This window comes from Homo sapiens, chromosome 21 (genome assembly GCF_000001405.40).
Source record: "Homo sapiens chromosome 21, GRCh38.p14 Primary Assembly".
Lineage (NCBI taxonomy): Eukaryota > Metazoa > Chordata > Mammalia > Primates > Hominidae > Homo > Homo sapiens.
Window position 1 is genome coordinate 22554007 of NC_000021.9, and position 20007 is coordinate 22574013.

General features: G+C 35.5%; 1 long non-coding RNA gene across 1 annotated transcript; it reads left to right on the forward strand.

Annotated features, from left to right (window-relative positions):
* The first annotated feature begins 1175 nt into the window (after positions 1–1175).
* On the forward strand, positions 1176–6570 carry LOC107985494 (uncharacterized). Its single transcript, XR_001755100.1, has 3 exons — positions 1176–1224; positions 1432–1466; positions 6516–6570. It is a non-coding gene; the product is annotated as an uncharacterized LOC107985494 (long non-coding RNA).
* The last annotated feature ends 13437 nt before the right edge of the window (positions 6571–20007 follow it).

Consider the following 20007-nt stretch of genomic DNA (forward strand, 5'->3'; position numbering starts at 1 on the left):
TCAAAGAATAATTTCTGAGCTAATTTAATAATATACAGTCTATTTTAGTATTTCCTGGACCTTTGATTCAAGAAAATTAAGTGCTTAGTGATCTCTATGACAGAAAAGGAACAGGTTGATATTAGGAGATATATTAAAAGGAGAGAAAAAAATTATATGGCAAATGGCATTCACATTTTAACACTTTTCTACCTTACTTCCTCATTTCATATAAAGTAGAATTCAAATAAAAGTACAAACATCATGGTAAAATTGAGATGTTTATGAGGAATTACTTAAACTTTTATTCTTTGAGGAGAATGGAAAAAAAAAAACATTGACTAAGATCTCTATAAATGTTACTAGAAAGCATTGACAAGTATGGCTGAGTCGTACTCAACATGTAGTAGTTCGAATATGGATAGCTGTTTAAGTTTTCTCCCATTTTATCTTTTATCTATCTTTCTTTTATTTACTGTACATTTTATCTTTTATCTATCTTTCTTTTATTTACTCTACTTTCATTTATTTACTCTTCCTTTAGAAGAGTACTTTTCTATGTGCTAATTAAACTTTTCCATGTTTCAAATATGTTTTCTATATGATCTGCTAATTTCTGATATAACTCCCTGTTTATTAGGTATAATTACAGAAAGGAATGTCTTTTCCTGGAAACCATTAAACTGAAGCCAAGATTGCCTGTTATTCTCTGCTGGAATTTCTAATATGTCAGTTAAGAAAGCTGGTTGGAAGTAAGAGAGAATGGAGCCAGCATGCAGAGAAAAGTAGGCAGATGAGATAAAGAAACAAACCGTTGAAATTGGAGTCTCTAGTTCTAAATGATTTTGCCACTCATTGGCTTTTCAGATGTCCAAGAGTTTTGATCATCCAATACTCCACACATACTTTGGGCATATAATCACTGCCTCTTAGAGTCTAAAGCAGGGCTGGAAAGAATTTCCTTCGTCATAAAAAAGTATGACAAATTCATTCTCAAAATAATGTTATTAAGAGTAAAATATAAAAAAAGGAAGAAACATTTTCCATTTCTTTCCTATTCTGAATTTTGTAATAGCTACTACTCTGTAGGGTTCAATAAAGTTCATTTTCATGTCATACAAACTTTATTGATTCAGTTCAGCTTCGCGAGTTTGCACTGAAGTATTGCTCACCCTAAAATAATGCTAATCAAGTAATTCTACGACATCTATATAACCTTGCAGTAAAAGGCGCACCAGTGTAAAGGTGGGTGAATTACAGTCTATTTGATGCTTGATTTACTCTTCAACTGTCTCCAGTAATGAAATATAGCAGCCAGGAACTAAAGCTTGGGTGAGTTTCTAACAGATTAGAGTTATTTGGTGAAGAGGGTAGATCTCTGGGGAAATACTAGGAATAAATATGGTTATTTAAAAATTCTCTCGCTTTTTTTTTTTTTTTTTTTTTTTTTAGGATCTGGTCTATATTTGCGTTTGCTTCAGACCAAAGTAAGTTGGAAGTTGACACAATTACATATATTTATCTTTCTTTCCTAATCGATTTAGGATATCAGAATCATTTCATTGATGCTAATATAGGAGAGGTTAATACTCAAAAATCTTTACTGAAGTAAAAGTAAAAGGAATGGCTGAAAATCAGCTGACAGCCAGTTTCTACATGTTTCACCTCGACTTAACATTCAGACATTGTTCAGATCCCCTGAAGTTACTTATGTTCTGAATATTTACTAAAGTGCTGGACTGGATATTATGTTTTTAAAGAAGAAAAATGATGTAGATTATTATAAAAGAAGGAAGCTTCTTTCTCTAAAGATCAAGTTTTAAAAATTTAGGAGTGGTGGAAGTTTCTAACATATTTCCGTAGTGATATACCACTAGGATAAAACCATTATTATAATATTCAACCAGCACCTTTAGATATATCATTTTACTTATGAACCTTAGTGAATCAATACTTGTTTTTCACAAAAGAGGTACTTAAACCTTAATCAATACAAAATCTGATATTTATATTTGTTTATCCAGCAAAGTATTGTGGTAGAATATTTTCCTTAAAATGGAACATGGAATCCAATACTCCAATCATATGTGGAAAAATGAGGCTATGTGTATGTGTATATATATATATATATATATATATGTATATATATATGTATATATAAACAAGCATATGTATATATACACACATATATGTATATATAATTTTGTTATGCAAAGAAAAAAGAATAATTCTTTTTATGAATATTTATGTAATGTAAAACCCAAAGACTACCTTTTCTCTTGTCAAATATATAAATTTAGGTCTGGTTTTTATACTATATCTATAAAGTTCATCATCATATACATGGTGTAATTTGGAATTTATTAATATTTTGATGAATAATATACCAATCAAAAGACAAGACATAATTTAAACATGTATTAAAAGTTTAAAAATTGAAGGAATTTCAACTTTTAATAAATTTGTGGTTCTGTTAGGTATTAGACAACATAACATCATGTATCTACAATATATAGATATTGCTATAATCTATGATTCATCCTGCAACAAAAAAGTAACATAAATGAAAAAGATGAAATGTATTTAATATGAATTAGTTTTTTAAAAAACCTGGCAAAAATTTAAGAGATAAATAATAAGAAGATATTTAGGATCATAATTGCACTCTTAAGTAACAACTATAAGATATTGGACATATTATTTGGTCTGATATCCCATCTCCCTTCCTTTGATAATATTGCCCACGATTTTGCTAGAAATTCTGTCAAATTATTGCCACTATGCATTTTTCTTTTTATATTAACAAAAAAGCAGATGAAATATGTCTTTTTTAAAAAGTAGTTCACAAACATTTTATTAACTTGATATCTTCATTTCTGCTTCCTTAGATATCATTGAAATTATGGTTACATGTAATTAGTGATTCTACTTTTGAATTATTAAAGTTAATAATTTAAAGTTAATATTTTGCTACTAAATTAGCTTTGCCTTAATTTGGAATAGTTCTCAATTGTAAGATTTGTTTCCATTCAAAGTCCAGATTTCACAATCCCTATTGGCCAATTTGGTCATGTAAATAAATATTTTATTAATAGTGATCTTGATTTAAAAAAGCACATATAAATACTTTGTAACTAAAATATAATCTGAATAAATTAAAAATCCTTAACAAAAATTATTCTTTTTACTTACCCAAGTAACAGATCTATGGCAATACTGATTTGTCTAAACATTTCAGAATCAACCTGTTTATGTGAATTTTTGGTTCATTCAATCAAATATCTACATTGACAATTTGTTATTTGATTAATTGTTTTGATAAATAAGACAATGAAACAGATTATGGATACTCATATAGAAACAATTGTACATCTAGCTAAATTATTTAACTTTACAATTTATCTCAAAAATTCTTCCATAAACAAATTCAACAGGATATTCATCAAAAATAAAAACTACTGAAATATGAATACAAACAAAAACATGAATCACGAAATAATTATGCTGAGTGAAAAAAATCTGTGTAAAAAGGAATACATATTGTATGAAAATTCAAACTGATCTTTGGTAGCCAAAATTATACCAGTAGTTATATAAAGTACAAGGCACCATGAGATAACTTTTGTATGTGATAGCCATATGTTTATTTATTATGTTTACTTCTTCATTCTGGTGATGGGTTTATAGGTGTATAGATACTTGTTTCTATTTCTTAACTTTTTTTAAGTTCAGGGGTATATGTGCAGATTTGTTACATAGATAAACGCATGTCACAGGTGTTAGTTATACAGATTATTTTGCCATGCAGTTATTAAGCCTAATACCCATTAGTTATTTTTCTTGATCCCCTCCCTCCTCCCAACTCTTCACTTTCAGATAGAACCCAGTGTCTGTTGTTCCCCTGTAAGTGTCCATGTGTTCTTATCATTTAGCACTCACTTATACGTTCTCACTTGTTTTTCTGTTGCTGTGTTAGTTTGCTAATGTAGAAATAATGGATGATGGCCTCCAGCTTCACCTACGCTCCTGCAAAGGACATGGTCTCATTCTTTTTTATGAACATATGGTTGTATAGTATTCCATCGCACATGTGCAGCACATTTTTAAAATCTAGTCTACCACTGATGGGCATTTAGATGGATTCCATGTCTTTTCTATTGTGAATAGTGCTGCAATAAACACGCGTGCATGTGTCTTTATGATAGAGTGATATATATTCCTTTGGGTATATACCCTGTAATGGGATTGCTGGGTCAAATAGCATTTCTGTTTTCAGCTCTTTGAAAAATGGCCACACTGCTTTCCACAATGGTGGAACTAATTTACACTCCTACAAACAGTGTATAAATGTTCTCTTTCTCTGCAACCTTGCCAGCACGTTATTTTTTGGCTTTTTAGTAATAACCATTCTGACTGGTGTGAGATAGTATTTCATAGTGGTTTTGATTTGCATTTCTCTATTGATCAGTGATAGCAAGCATTTTTTTATGCTTGTTGGTCTCATGTATGTCTTATTTTATTTCTTTTCTTTTTTTTTTTTTTTTTTTTTTGAGACAGAGCCTTGCTCTTTTGCCCAGGCTGGAGTGAAGTGGTGCAATCTCGGCTCACTGCAGCCCTCTGCCTCCCAGGTTCCAGAGATTCTCCTGCCTCAGGCTCCTGGCTAGCTGAAATTACAGGTACATGCCACCACGTCTGGCTAATGTTTGTATTTTTAGTAGAGATGGGGTTTCACCATGTTGGCCAGGCTGGTCTCGAACTCCTGACCTCAGGTGATCGGCCCACCTTGGTCTCCCAAAGTGCTGGGATTAAAGGCGTGAGCCACCGCACCTGGCTGTATGTCTTATTTTCAAAAGTGTCTGTTAATGTCTTTTGCCCACTTTTCAATGGGATTGTTTGGCTTTTGCTTATAAATTTGTTTAAGCTCCTTATAGATGCTAGATATTAGATCTTTGTCAGATATAGTTTGCAAAAATGTTCTCCTATTCTGTAGGTTGTCTGTTTACTATCTATTCTCTTTCATTGGTATATATGTCAGGTTTTGTACAATATCATGCTATTTTGGTGACTGTAGCCCCGTAGTATAGTTTGAAATTTGGTAGCAAATTGTTCTTTTTGTTAGGTTGCTTTTTTCTTTTTGCTTAGGTTTGCCTTGGCTATTTTGGCTCTTTTTTGGTTCCATATAAATTTTGAAATAGAATTTTCTAGTTATGTGAAGAATGTCACTGGTAGTTTGATAGGATAGTATTGAATCTGTAAATTGCTCCGGGGGCAGTATGGCCATTTTAATAATATTTATTCTTACTATTCATGATCATGGAATGTTTTTCCATTTGTTTGCATTATCTCTGTTTGTTTGTACAGTGTTTTGTAGTTGTCACTGTAGAGACCTTTAATCTCCCTGGTTATCTGTATTCCTAGGTATTTTATTCTTTTTGTGGCAACTGTGAGTGGGATTGCCTTCCTGATTTGGCTCTCGGCTTGACTGTTGTTGGTGTATGGGAATTCTAGTGAGTTTTGTACATTGATTTTATTTCTTGAAACTTTGCTGAAGTTGTTTATCAGCTCAAAGAACTTTTGTGACAAGACTATGGGGTTTCCTAGATTTAGAGTCATGTCATCTGCAAACCGAGATAGTTTGGCTTCCTATCCTTTTTTTTTTTTTTTTTTTTTTTTTTTTTGAGACAGAGTCTTGCTCTGTCGCCCAGGCTGGAGTGCAGTGGTATGATCTCGGCTTACTGCAAGCTCCGCCTCCTGGGTTCACGCCATTCTCCTGCCTCAGCCTCCTGAGTAGCTGGGACTACAGGCACCCGCCACCACGCCCAGCTAATTTTTTGTATTTTTAGTAGAGACAGGGTTTCACTGTGTTAGCCAGGATGGTCTCAATCTCCTGACCTCGTGATCCGCCTGCCTCAACCTCCCAAAGTGCTGGGATTACAGGCGTGAGCCACCACACCCGGCCTGGCTTCCTATCTTCTTTTGGATGTACTTTTTTCTTTCTCTTGCCTGTTTGCTGTGGTTACGATGTCCAATACTATTTTGAATATGTGTGGTGAGAGAGGGCATCCTTGTCTTGTGTTGGTTATCAAGGGGAAAGCTTCCGGATTTTTCCCTTTCAGTATAATGTTGGCTATGGGTTTGTCACAGATGGTTCTTATTATTTTGAGGTGTTTCTTCAATATCCAGTTTACTGAGAGTTTTTTTTAACATAAAGGGGTATTGAATTTTATTGAAAGACTTTTCTGCATCTACTGATATAATCATGGGTTTTTTAAATTTATTTCTCTTTAAGTGATGAATCACATTTATTTATTTGCATATTTAAATCAACTTTGCATCCCAGGGATGAAGCCTACTTATCTACAAATGACTCATTTGGAGATATTTTTTATTGACTTATATTTTTTTCCAAAATATTTTACTTCCATGGTTTCTCAATGTCCAGTAGTATGTGTTAAAACTTGGGAAGAGTGTACAATTAGTTGGAGTCATTCTAGATTTTATTTTGTTCTTCTAATGGTTCTTTCATTTATTTTTAGATGTTTCATATTAAGAAGTCATTAACTTGACTGCAGTTACTCTTTCTCCTGCATGGTGAGCAATCATTGATTTATCTGCTCAGCTTCTCTGTCTGTTTGCATATATGTATATACCTATCTTCGATTGTTAATCTATCTGCCTGAGTCCCTAGAGGTTGTATCTGGGCTTTTAGAGTTTCACTATTATTCCATGATTATGTACAAGCACCTCAAACTATTTTGGCTACAGCACTCTGTCTCTCCAACTGTGAATGAGTTGAGAAACATATTCAAAGTGTCAACAACTTCACAAGTATCCCCAAGCCTTATTATTTCCCTCCTCTTTCTGGACTCTCCCATGAACATGAAACATGTATAAGTACGTCAGAGATTACTCAAACCATTGTTTAACGCTCTCTCAACTTCCAAAATCTACTTTTTAAATTTCTACCTGCTCTGCTATTACTTGAACCTGGCTAGTAAAATTTTCACCACTCTATCTGGGGAAGGAAATTAGAATAACCCTAGGGAAGAAGGCAACAAATTTGCCATACTTACCAGGGACAGTGAAAGTTTTTCATGAATAAATGTCTTCTGTTACCTAGTGCAACGAAATGATTGTTTCATATGTACTCCAATTTTGTATGGATTTTCTGTATAAATTGTCTGACCTCTTCATGCCACCATTCCCAGAAATAAAGCTTCAAGAAACATTACTTTTACAAACATATTAGTAGAAATAGTGTATGTGATAGCAGCAGGAGGCAGGCAAATCCTAGGCAGACAGGGGTGGGTGCCCAGTGAAACCGACCTTCAAGCCGAAGACAGTTTAAAGCTTGAAAACCAAGCTACAAGTCTCAGATAAATCTGTTGACCAGATTGAGAACCTCTCTTCCTGTTTGGTGTGCTTTCCTCTCATTGATGCCCACCCTTCACCTATTTTACATATACCTAGGCTTCCCAATTGGTTTTTGCCCTGTTGTGCCCATCTTTTGAGTGGTGCTTTTTTCTAACCTTTTTTGCATATTTGCAGCACACAATTCCCCATTCTAAGCCCATAAACCCCAAATCAGACACACTGGGAGATTACCTGACTTCCCATAGGGGGCTGCCCTCTTTAAGTCCCCTCTCTGCTGAGAACTGTCACTCAATAAAACTCTTCGCCTTGCTCACCCTTCAGCTGTCAGTGTAACCTCATTCTTCTTAGACGCAGGACAAGAACCCAGGACCTGCGGAACACGAGTACAAAAAATGCTGAAACACTGTAGTCCTCCACCCTCTGGAAGCACCAGGCAGCTGCCCCAGAAGACAGGCAATGGCAGGGCTGGGCCAGCCCAAAAGCCATGGGCTAGAGGGGGGTGGTGGGAAGGAGAGAAGAGTTATGACCCTTCTGGGGTCCTAGACCTCGGGGATCCCTGAGCGAGAGCTGTAACACTCTGTAACACACCCCTTGGGGCTCCAGGGCCACTGGCATCTCCAAATTTGGGGGGCGCCACCATGTTCCTCTCATCTAGACACGAACACCCAAGGCAGAAGCAACTTGTAGTATGCCTGGTCCAGCCGCAGCCTCACGCAGCGCCGGCACCTGTGTGGCCACCTGGAGCTCCCCGCCCTGCAGCAGCAGCCAGTGCTGACACATCCCTCGCCACTCCGCACCTGGCTCGCCTTTGGTGGGTGTGAGATCCAGGCCGGGGCGCAAGCCATGCTCAGCGGACTGGGCTGAGTGGGCAGGATATCTCCAGAGGCAATCCCGGAGCCAACAGAGGCCTTGGGCAGGGGCATTTCCAGCCGCAGAGGTCTCCGGCTGGAGAAGAACTGAAAAATTCCTGCATTATATGTATACTGGAAATTTGGTAAGAGAGTAGATCTTAAGTGTTCTCACCATGCACACACACACACACACAAACACACACACACACACGATAGAAAGTCATCCATGTGAAGTGATGAATGTGTTACCTACCTAGATTGCGGTAATAATTTCACAATGTATACATACATCAAATCATCACATTATATACCTTAAACATATACAGCTTTATTTGGCAATTATACCTCACTAAAGCTTTGAAAATATTTTGCAGTTTATTCTCAAGGTTTGAAATATAGGAAAAATTATCAAAATTATACTTGCTCCTTTCAAAGGATCTAACTATTCAAGTATCTATAACTTTCTCTACTATATATATATATATAATGTATAATATGTATATATATATATATATATATATATTTTTTTTTTTTTTTTTTTTTTTTTTTGAGAGGGAGTCTCACTCTGTCACCCAGACTGGAGTGCAGTGGTGTGGTCTCGGCTCACTGCAGCCTCTGCCTCCTGGGTTCAAGCGATTCTCCTGCTGCAGCCTCCCGAGTAGCTGGGACTACAGGTGCCCACCACCACCTCTGGCTAATTTTTTTTTTCCTTGTATTTTTAGTAGAGACGGGGTTTCACCATGTTAACCAGGATGGTCTCCATCTCCTGACCTCGCGATCCACGCCCCTCGGCCTCCCAAAGTGCTGGGATTACAGGTGTGAGCCATCGCGCCCGGCCTAAAATTTTTACGTTCATCTGCATCTGGCCTCTGTTGTGGAGGAAGTATAATACTCTTTGGAAGAACTAAAAAAGCATCAGAAACATTCAGGACCTTCCTGACGGTTGCATAACAGCAGGATTTTGAAGACTGGATTCCATCCCAAATCCTATTTTGAACATCCTCAAAAGGATTGCCTTGCTACCACTAAAGCCATGACAATTTAGAACAGACAGTGACAAATCATTAACTGTCTTGTAATGATTACTCCAAAAGCCTTAGCATGGCCGGCAAAGTTCTACTCACTAAAACATTTCCACGGATATAAAAACGTCTGAAGGTTTTTTATAAAAGATAACAGAAATGTATATATTTTAACAGGAAATTAATGATTATGTTGTGAGGGAATATATCCTAAAAAGAAAGATAAGAAAGGATAATCAATCTAAGGAAAATTCGTACATCTGAGTAGTGACAGTGACTTGGTAATTGAAAAATAAAGGGTTAGGGCAATGCCACAGAATTTTTTTTTTTTTTTTTTTGAGATGGAGTCTCACTCTGTCGCCCAGGCTGGAGTGCAGTGGCGTGATCTCGGCTCACTGCAAGGTCCACCTCCTGGGTTCATGCCGTTCACCAGAGAAAAACTTTATGTTAAGTTTCTGTGAATCTACTTTTACACTTAAGCTAACTGAAAATAGTTTCTTTAAAATTTATTTGTAGTGATTATGACTTCATTAATAATTTCAGCTGTATCTAAGTTTCTTATTGTGTTTTGGTTTACTTCTTAGGAAAACAGCTACAGATTTCTACTCTCATCCAAAAGTCAGTCATTCACAGTATGTATGGTATTTCAAACTGGGCTTATCAAAATGCAAATTAATGCAAGCCACACCCACAATCCTTTGCAGTTAAATGTTTCCTAAGAATGTCTACTTAATTATAATATTTTAGAAAGAAGTACTCATTTCTAATGTTAGAAACCTAGAAGAAATGTACAGATATCTAGACACTTGGCTCAAATAATTCTCCAAATCCAAATAATTCTTAGGAGATATTCTATTCATATTCTTTAAAAAATATGTTACCATTTTATTATAATTTTTTTTTGTTTGTTTTGTTTTGAGACTGAGTCTTGCTCTGTCACCAGGCTGGAGTGCAGTGGCATCATCTCGGCTCACTGCAACCTCCGCCTCCCGGGTTCAAGTGATTCTCCTACCTCAGCCTCTGAGTAGCTGGAATTACAGGCACACGCCACCATGCCCAGCTAATTTTTGTATTTTTAGTAGAGACAAGTTTTCACCATGTTGGCCAGGATGGTCTCGATCTCTTGACCTCATGATTCACCCACCTCAGCTTCCCAAAGTGCTGGGATTACAGGTGTGAGCCACCACGCCCGGCCAAAAGTGTTTTTTCTATGATTTTCTCTATTATGTCTAATTTAAATAACTGTTTAGAGAACCATGAATCAATCTATCTTCCCTCTTGTGTTCTCCTTTTCTCTCGCTCTTTCCACCTTTTCATCTGTATTCCTCACACTCTCCCTTTCTAACAGCTGTAAAAAGTTTCCTTAAGTCTGGTCCATGAAAAAAATGAATAATATCTCAAACTTTAGAAACAGTCACAATAATAGAACAATTCAAAAAATAGAAGGATGCTAATTAAAAGTAGCTTGTTAGACACTTGAGGAAAAGGACAAAAAGTAAATGGCTGATTTCCAAACAGTTTGTTTGACAAAGGAAAAAAAAAAGAGAGAAGAAGAAAAGGATTACATCTGTCCAACAAACCCTATTGTCTTCACTTTTACTAGTAGCGTTCAGCGTTATTGATTTTGACAAAAGGCTTTCCAAACTGAGTGAAATTGTTCAGTTTTCCTTTTAACCTTTGGAATTCAGTGTTTTCCCTTTATAGGTGTTCAGAATAGTTCTATCACAGACCTGTTGGCATGTAAAATTATTTCCAAGTGAACATCAACTAGACTTATGTGGAATGTTCATATTCAGGCATATGCCCCATATCATTCCCCAAATCTAAAACATTTTTGTCAGATATTCTGGTCAGCTTATTAATCCTTTAATATTTATATTCCAAAAAACTTGTCTAATAATATTTTCTTGTATTTAATAATCACAACAATCAAAAAGTTCTTATCCATGTCTATTTTCTGTTTAAAATGAAGTTCCTTTGGTCTTTTTCTCTGGCATATGTGCTCTATGATTCTAGTAGTTTCTCTAACATACGAGGAGTCACTCTTTAGGTTATTTTCTTTTAAACAGATTCACAATCTTTACCTTTTTATATACACACATATGCATTACAGAAATATTTACTTTTCTATAGAAATGTTGCAGAAAATCAAGAGGCAAACATTTTGCCTACCATTTCCAGATAGTTTAGTTGGTTCCTGACATTACAATATATGGTAAGATTGTATTGGAAGAAAAAAATCTACATAATGTTTTACAATAATTTTATGAGAAATTACTAATGAGAGCAGTGAGGAAGGAAAAATCCAAAAGTAGTTGGAAGAAAAAAATGTAAAAATAATCACAAGCATTTATCAGAAAAAAGTTCCTATTCAGTCTGGAGAGTGCTGTATGGAAAAATAATTAACATTAACTTACTCTTTTCCCATTGCCTATAATAGGTCATCACAAGGCAGAAAATTTTGTCAAAAACAAATTGTGAAATTGCTGACATTTTGGAATGCAAATGTTATGGTTTGAATGTCTCCTCCAAAACTCCTGTTGCAATTTAATTGCTATTGTAACAATATTAACAAATGGGACCTTTAAGAAGTCATTAGGTCGTGAGGGTTCTGTGCACTCACTTGCTCTTCTGTCATTTTATGATGCAGTGAGAAGGTCCTCACCATATGTGGCCACTGAATGTTAAACTTTCAGCCTCCAGAACCATGAATCAAATACACTTCTATTGTTTATAAGTTACCCAGTTTGTGGTATTCTGCCAGAGCAGTAGAAAATTAAACAAGACAACAAACAAGTGAAGAATTCAATCCTTTGTTCATGAAAATGTTTAAATGTGGAAAATAAATGTTTATTACAAGGAAAAAATGTGTACATAGAGTGAAATATATAGAATGATATTTCTGTTCTTCTATTCTTCTTTGCTTCAAAACTGATTATACTAAATAAGAACAGCTTTGGTTTTACATTTTTCTTCCAATTTCTTTTTTTTTTCTAGTTTAAGTTAAAAATCAATAGTGTCAAGGAAAAGGTGAGAGAAAAATAAGCTAATCAACACTTAGAAGGTGACAAGTAGGTAATTTAACCCATGATATCTTACTGGAATCCCAATAAAGAAGGAGTTGTCACAAATTGCATCTTTATCTCTTACAACTACACAGCCAGGTAATTTTTTTTTCAAAGTGGTAAATTTTTTATTATCTTAACTAGAATGTCACCACATATTTTCTCTCTCACTTTTTTTTTTTTTTTTTTGAGTCTTACTCTGTTGCCCAGGCTGGAGTGCAGTGAGTCAATCTCAGCTCACTGCAAACTCCGCCTCCCGGGTTCAAATGATTCTCCTGCCTCAGCCTGCTGAGTAGCTGGGACTACAGGCGCCCGCCATCACACCCAGCTAATTTTTGTATTTTTAGTAGAGATGGTTTCACCATGTTTGTCAGGCTGGTCTTGAACACCTGACCTCGTGATCCATCCACCTAGGACTCCTCCCAAAGTGTTGGGATTACAGGCATGAGCCACCACGCCCGACCCACATATTTTCTAAGATTAAAAGTGGCATCCAATTTGCCGGCAATTATTAAATGAATAATTAATTGATTTTTTTTTAATTTCAATACATATCTTTCTGTTTAGAAAGTATACTTCAAATTTTTTAGTGATCAATTTCATTGCTTTATTCATGTCACGGAATTGGGGGAAAAAAGATAAATCTGTTTTCATGTCCAAATGGTAACAGAAAATTTATTCACTTTAAAGATTAAAATGTTTCTTTAAAAAAACAAAGTGAACTATGCATTTCTCAATGAAATTATTTAAATGTAAATGTGGTAAAATACACTTGACTACCATTTGTTTACTTTGTATTATTTTTATAAAGAAAATAAGTGTGTCTATTTAATAACTAATGTACTCCTCAAGAAGCCTTTTAAACTTTTACCACAGTAATTGTTAACATTCTTAATCTCTTTGACAATCTGAATACTAGCCCTAACCTCAAAATTAGGTGTAAAGCATTGGTTCTTTGTTGTTGCTTACAAATATATATAGGACTTCTGTGATCAAAACATAACTAATGTCATAAATTTACAACAAATCAAAGAGCCAATCCCATGTCATATAGCGTAGGTCAAATATTAAAGAGGTTGTCAGATCAATTCTTCAAGAGAGTTTTAAAATGTACTAGTTTTTAAGTACTATTGCAGGAGAGGCAAGGGAAAATAGGACTCAACCTCCTGCCAGGAAAGAATATTTATTTTTTTCTTAGTAGTGGATATTCTCAGTATTATTGATATTTCATATGTTTTAGGCCATCAAAAATATAAGTAGTCTTCCACATAAGAAAAATTGATGGGATAAACAAAACTGGCTGTCTCAATTGGTGCTGTGTCTTTAGGATAGTGAAAATTTTTAAAAATATGGAGAAGAATAGACATAGCTACTAAAATGGCCAATTAGCGATTTTTAAAATTTTTTATCTTAATTTTAATTTGATTTTTAAAAATTTTAAACAATTCCAACAATCTTTAAATTTAGTTACCTGAAAAATGATTAATGTAAATAACTAAATGCTAAAAAGTAATTATTTAAAAGGTTTTTTTTTTTTTTTTTTGAGATGGAGTCTGGCTGTGTCGCCCAGGCTGGAGTGCAGTGTCGCAATCTCTGCTCACTGCAAGCCCCACCTCCTGGGTTCACACCATTCTCCTGCCTCAGCCTCCCGAGTAGTTGGGACTACAGGCGCCCGCCACCACGCCCGGCTAATTTTTGGTATATTTAGTAGAGACGGGGTTACATCGTGTTAGCCAGGATGGTCTCGATCTCCTGACCTCGTGATCCGCCTGCCTCGGCCTCCCAAAGTGCTGGGAATACAGGTGTGAGCCACCACTTCCGGCCTAAAGGTTTTTTTTAAAAGCATGCACAACACTGAAAGAAAGCATAAGATCTTTAAATACCAACTATGAAATGTCACCATAAATTTAAAGTGGCTGCTGAAGCCAGGGACTACCATAAGCCAACTACCAGTCACTGTATCATACTGTATCATAATGGGAAGAGTTTTCATGGTTGTGCTGGTAGGAAGAGATTGGGCATAAGGCCAAATTATCAAAAAATAGAAAGTCTATGCCAACAAAACCCTCAATGAAAGACGGTCTACCAGGTGAAACAAAAAACAAAGGAAACAACTTATATACGAAAGGAAAGAAAGTGACACTTGCCACTAGTTTCTGAGTGACTGACAAGAAGGTTTTCTTTGGGAATTCTTAAACGGTAGTTGGCATCCATATGAGTTTGAGGTCAGTGTTCACACTATGTGACACATGCGAAGAATGTCAATATGATAACTTTTGTTTAAAATGTCCCATATTGCCCACAATCCTATTCAGAGAATGCATTAAAACTTTCTCTGTAGGAATAAATCCTAAAACAGATTAGTTAAAATTTTGCCAGATAAAGTTCAAATAAGCATGTTTTAAACAAACAAAAAATCATACTGTAAACCAACTCTATTCAACACTATTTCAACAAATATTATTTGAGTACTTGATACTAGGTACTGTTCTAGATTCTAGGCATGCTATAGTAAGCAACAAAGAAAAAAAAATCCCTGCATGCATGGATTGTAGATTCCAGTGAAGAAGATAAACAGAAAATTCAATTTATAATTGTGTGGTATTATATGTTTAAATATAATAGCTTTTGTGTGAGGGTTCTCCAGAGAAACAGAAGCAATGGTATATATATACATTTAAGAGAGAATGTTTCATGGGAATTGGCTCAAGTGATTACAGAGGATGAGCAGTTCTACAATATGTTGTCTTCAAGCTGGAGAACCAGAACACCTGGGGGTGTCATTCAGTTTGAGTCTAAGGGATGGAGAAGCCGGGAGCCAATGCTGTCACTCAACCTGAGGGCAGAGGCTTGAGAATCAGAAGCTTCCATGTATGAGGGCAGGAGAAGATGGATGTCTTAGCTCAAGAACAAAGAACAAATTTGCTCTTCTTGTGGACAATTTGTTATACTGATCCCTCAATAGATTAGATGATGCCCAACCAAATTTATGAGGGCATATCTTCTTTTTCAGTTTCCTAATCAAATGCTAATCTCTTCCAGAAACACCCTCACAGTCACACCCAGAATAAACAATGGTTTACAAGCTTCTGGATATCCCTTAACCCAGTCAAATTGATATAGAAGAGGCTGGGCGCGGTGGCTCACGCCTGTAATCCCAACACTTTGGGAGGCCGAGGAGGGCGGATCACGAGGTCAGGAGATCGAGACCATCCTGGCTAACACGGTGAAACCCCGTCTCTACTAAAAATACAAAAAAATTAGCCGGGCGTGGTGGCAGGCGCCTGTAGCCCCAGCTACTCGGGAGGCTGAGGCAGGAGAATGGCGTGAACCCGGGAGGCAGAGCTTGCAGTGAGCTGACATCCCGCCACTGCACTCCAGCCTGGGCGACAGAGCGAGACTCTGTCTCAAAAAAAAAAAAATGATATAGGAGAGTAACCATCACAAGTCCATCCTGTGTCAAATTGGCACCCATGTGTATTTTATTATGCCATATTTAATCTCCCAATAAAGACAATAACAAAATCATAATTTCATCTAATATGATACAACTATCCTTCGTACAACCAAAAACACACTACTGTTTTTTGCAGAAAAGGAAACAAAATTGTAAGTATGTTTACACTTCAATAGTGGAGTATTGCTGCACATGCCCATCTATATGGCTTGTGGGTCAGATAACACCCATAAACCATGTTTTATCAATTATCTGGGTATTCCTTAACCCAGCAAGTTGACACATGAAATTAACCATTCCAGCATCTATGGGAAATTATGGGTGTTAAATGTAATGCACTGGGCTAGAGGGACAACACAATGAATAAAAATCAATAGAAACAAACAAATAGTTCTCCAAGGACTTCTGCTATTGAGAATATCAAATAGCAATATTAAACAGCAAATTAAACAGACAAGACCGAAAACAGAATGAGAGACAGAGAGAGAGACAGACAGAGGACAGACAGAGGAAGATAGAGGGAGAAAAACGTGAAAAAATTAAAGAGATTTCACCACATATTACAGAGGAAAAGGGCTATGGAATACTGAAACAAAAGATGTTTTAAAATATGCTTTTCATATAAATTAATGAAGGAGATGATTTCAGGATAACATAAGAGAAACAATTTTGCGTGTGTGTGTGTGTGTATACACTATTTGAGAATTTTCTAGTACCGAATAAATCCATGATGCAGGACGCACAGTATCTGTTCATTAGCACTAACAGAAATACCTTAGTAACTAGATAAACAATAGTATCACTAGAGAGCAATTTATGAAGCAAGATCTGTTGAATTATCTTCAAAAATGATAACAAGGCTGACAAGCAATTTCTCAACAATGAAAAAAGAAGCCAAAAGTCAATTAGAGAATGTCTTCCAGATGCTGAAAGAAAATGTTCATCCAGTAGAACTGTGTACTTATGGCAGGACAAATAAACAATTTCAAGGATTCATTAAAATATGTTCTATTTGATAGAAAATGATTTAGTGATTATAGAAAAAAAAATCATGGCTTGTCTGGGGTTACCATGAAAGTTTGTTTTATCAGTTTCAGCAAGTTTCCCAATGCATGTTCCCCAGAGTTACTGGAGGCAGGATATACTTTGAAAGTCGCTTCCAGACATTCGTTAACCAGTGAACATGTGCACAGGAACATAAATCTGACATTTAAAGAATGGCAGTGTCAGGTCCACGTGTTCTGGGTCATTATATATTATGTTACTATTGCACAGTTCCACTCTAATAATTGCAGTTGATTAAGGCCTTTCTACTGTTTATAGGGTTTATTAATTGTCACACTTACTACACTACAGTAACCAATTTAATTAAAATTTTTGAATTAGGGCAAAACAGAAACATTTTCAGAAGAAAAAAATATAAAGAAGCCATTTAGAACTATAAGAGGTTCACGAAAATTCAATGAATAACTTTCAAAATGAAAACAAGAAGGTTTCTCAAAATGAATATGTAAGATTCAATACAGAATGTTTAACAAAGGAATAAATTAACCTCTAAATAAATCAAAACATTAGTTGTTAGTATAAAAACACACACAAAAAAGGTCTAAATTATGATGATACTCAGCAGGACCAGATTAAGTTACTGGGCAATACAAGCAAATAAACCGGTACAAGGGGAGAATGGGTGGGTGAGAAAGTCCTTTATTTTCCTTGTGTTGTTTGGAAAGGTAGTAAATATATATGTTAAATGAGTAGTAGGTTAAGTCTACATGTTCTATTATTAAACGTGTTACTAAAGAATAAAAATGGACTTTAGGATTACAAATCTTAAAAATGGAATCAATTTAGCAGAAGGCAGAATAATAAAAAGCACACATTTAAGCGGTAGAAATGTACACATATATAAGTAATCACAATTAATGTAATTGGGCTAAATGTATTTCTTATAATAACGATTGTAACTGGATAGAAAACATTACACTTCATTCTTCTTTAGAAGAGACATTCTAAAGTAGATCAACAGATAAAGGTAAAAAGTAAAAAGAAGGAAAGCAAAATTGATGAATAAAAAGGGCAAACATTAAAAACATTTAAGCTAGTTAGGAAAAACAAAATAGGCTCTAACCATAAAGTGGTAATAAAAATAAAAATTAAAAAATGACTGCAGGCCAGGCACGGTGGCTCACACCTGTAATCCCAGCACTTTGGGAGGCAGAGTCGGGCGGATCACAAAGGCAAGAGATAGAGACCATCACGCCCAACATGGTGAAACTTTGTCTCTACTAAAAATATAAAAATTAGCTTGGCATGATGACATGTGCCTGTAGTCTCAGCTACTTGGGAGGCTGAGAAAGGAGAATCTCTTGAACTTGGGAGGCGAAGGTTGCAGTGAGCTGAGATCATGCCACTGCACTCCAGCCTGGTGACACAGGAAGACTCCCTCTCAAAAAAAAAAAAAAAAAAAAAAAAAAAAGACAGCAAACTCTAAGACTCAGAAGCAGAGAAAATAAAAGATAATTTAAAATAATGAATGGGGAAAAACTTTGAAGAAAGGTAAAAAGGCCGGGGGAGACAGCCATAAATACATAAGAGTCAAAGCAAGAATGGGAGACAGAGGGTCGGGGGTTGACTTGTGAAAAATAGTTTCGGTAGAGAATCACAAGGTAACAAGGAGGCACTGTGAACAATGTCACACTCATACATTTTAATTCTTAGTTGTAATAGAAAATACACTAATTTTTTCAAAGTAATTTTAGCAAACAGAAAACTCAACTTGTATATAAACATTAAAAACATTTAGTCAGTGATTTCATTTATATACCCAGCTCACAAGGTTATAAATGTTAATTCCTCCATGGCATGATCCCAGCTCACTGCAACCTCTGCCTCCCAGGTTCAGGCGATTTTCCTGCCTCAGCCTCCCGAGTAGCTGGGATTACAGGTGCCCACCACCACACCTGGCTAATTTTTTTGTATTTTTTGTAGAGACGGGGTTTCACCATGTTGGCCAGGCTGCTTTTGAACTCCTGACCTCGAGTGATCTGCCTGCCTTGGCCTCCCAAAGTGCTACAATTACAGGTGTGAGCCACTATGCCCAGCCAAGAAAGAAACTATTCTAACCTAAACCTGTCCTGATTATTTTTAAAAAGGAGAAAATCTGTTAATTTTATTTTATGATTAAAGAATGTAGCAAAAATCTATAGCAAGTATCATAGTTACTGTTGAAACATAAAAGACATTTCCTTTGACTTAAGAAAAGTTTAAAAAAGTAGCTATTATTCTATTTAACATTGTACTGAAAATCTTGGAGCATACAATTATACATTAAATTATAGCACAGAATAAAATTACAAATTATTACAAGGAGAAATCAGTATTTTATAACATTTAGGAACAGTTTAAAAAGTAGATCAAACATCAAAAATTCCATTAACTTGGTGATTTTTTTCAAATATTAGTCATTCGTTTGAATTTTATAAATTCTGATAAAATTTCTATTTGTCAATATAAATTATTTTATTTTAACACTAATTTCTTAGCTGTGATAGTTGTATAATTTACTGACACAAATTTAATATTCATTCAGGAAATAGGTTTTCTTATGAGGAGTCAATATTTTTATCTGAAAGTATTAATCTATGCAGTAATAATCATGGAAAATAAATTTTAAAACTCAGTAGCATTTTATAACAATTTGTAAGAATCTCAATTTTTTACGAAAAGTCAAAGTAGATATTTAGCAGAAGAGATTATATGTATGGTTGGGTGTGGGTGTGAAGTACATACTGGGACATTCAAACGTGCGTCTCTTAAAATTACTATGTTTATAATTGACAGGGAAATTATATAATATTGACCTCATTACAATAATCAAATAATATTCATGATTATCCCATTTTGAATATTGTGCTTTCTTATGAAACAATATTACCAAGCATGATTCTATATGCAATGCTATGTATTTAAGGTTTTGTTTTGTTTTTGTTTTTTGGGGGGACAAGGTCTCACTCTGTTGCCCAGGCTGGAGTGTTGTGGCACAATTACAGCTCACTACAGTCCAGACTTCCCCAGGCTCAGGTTATCCTCCCACCTCAGTCTCCTGAGAAGCTGAAACTACAAGCACATGCCACCATGCCTAGCTAATTTTTGTGTTTTCTGTAGAGACAGGGTTCCATCATGTTGTCCAAGCTAATCTCCATCACCTGGCCTCATGCAATCCTCCTACTCTGCCTCCCAAAGTGCTGGCATTACAGGCA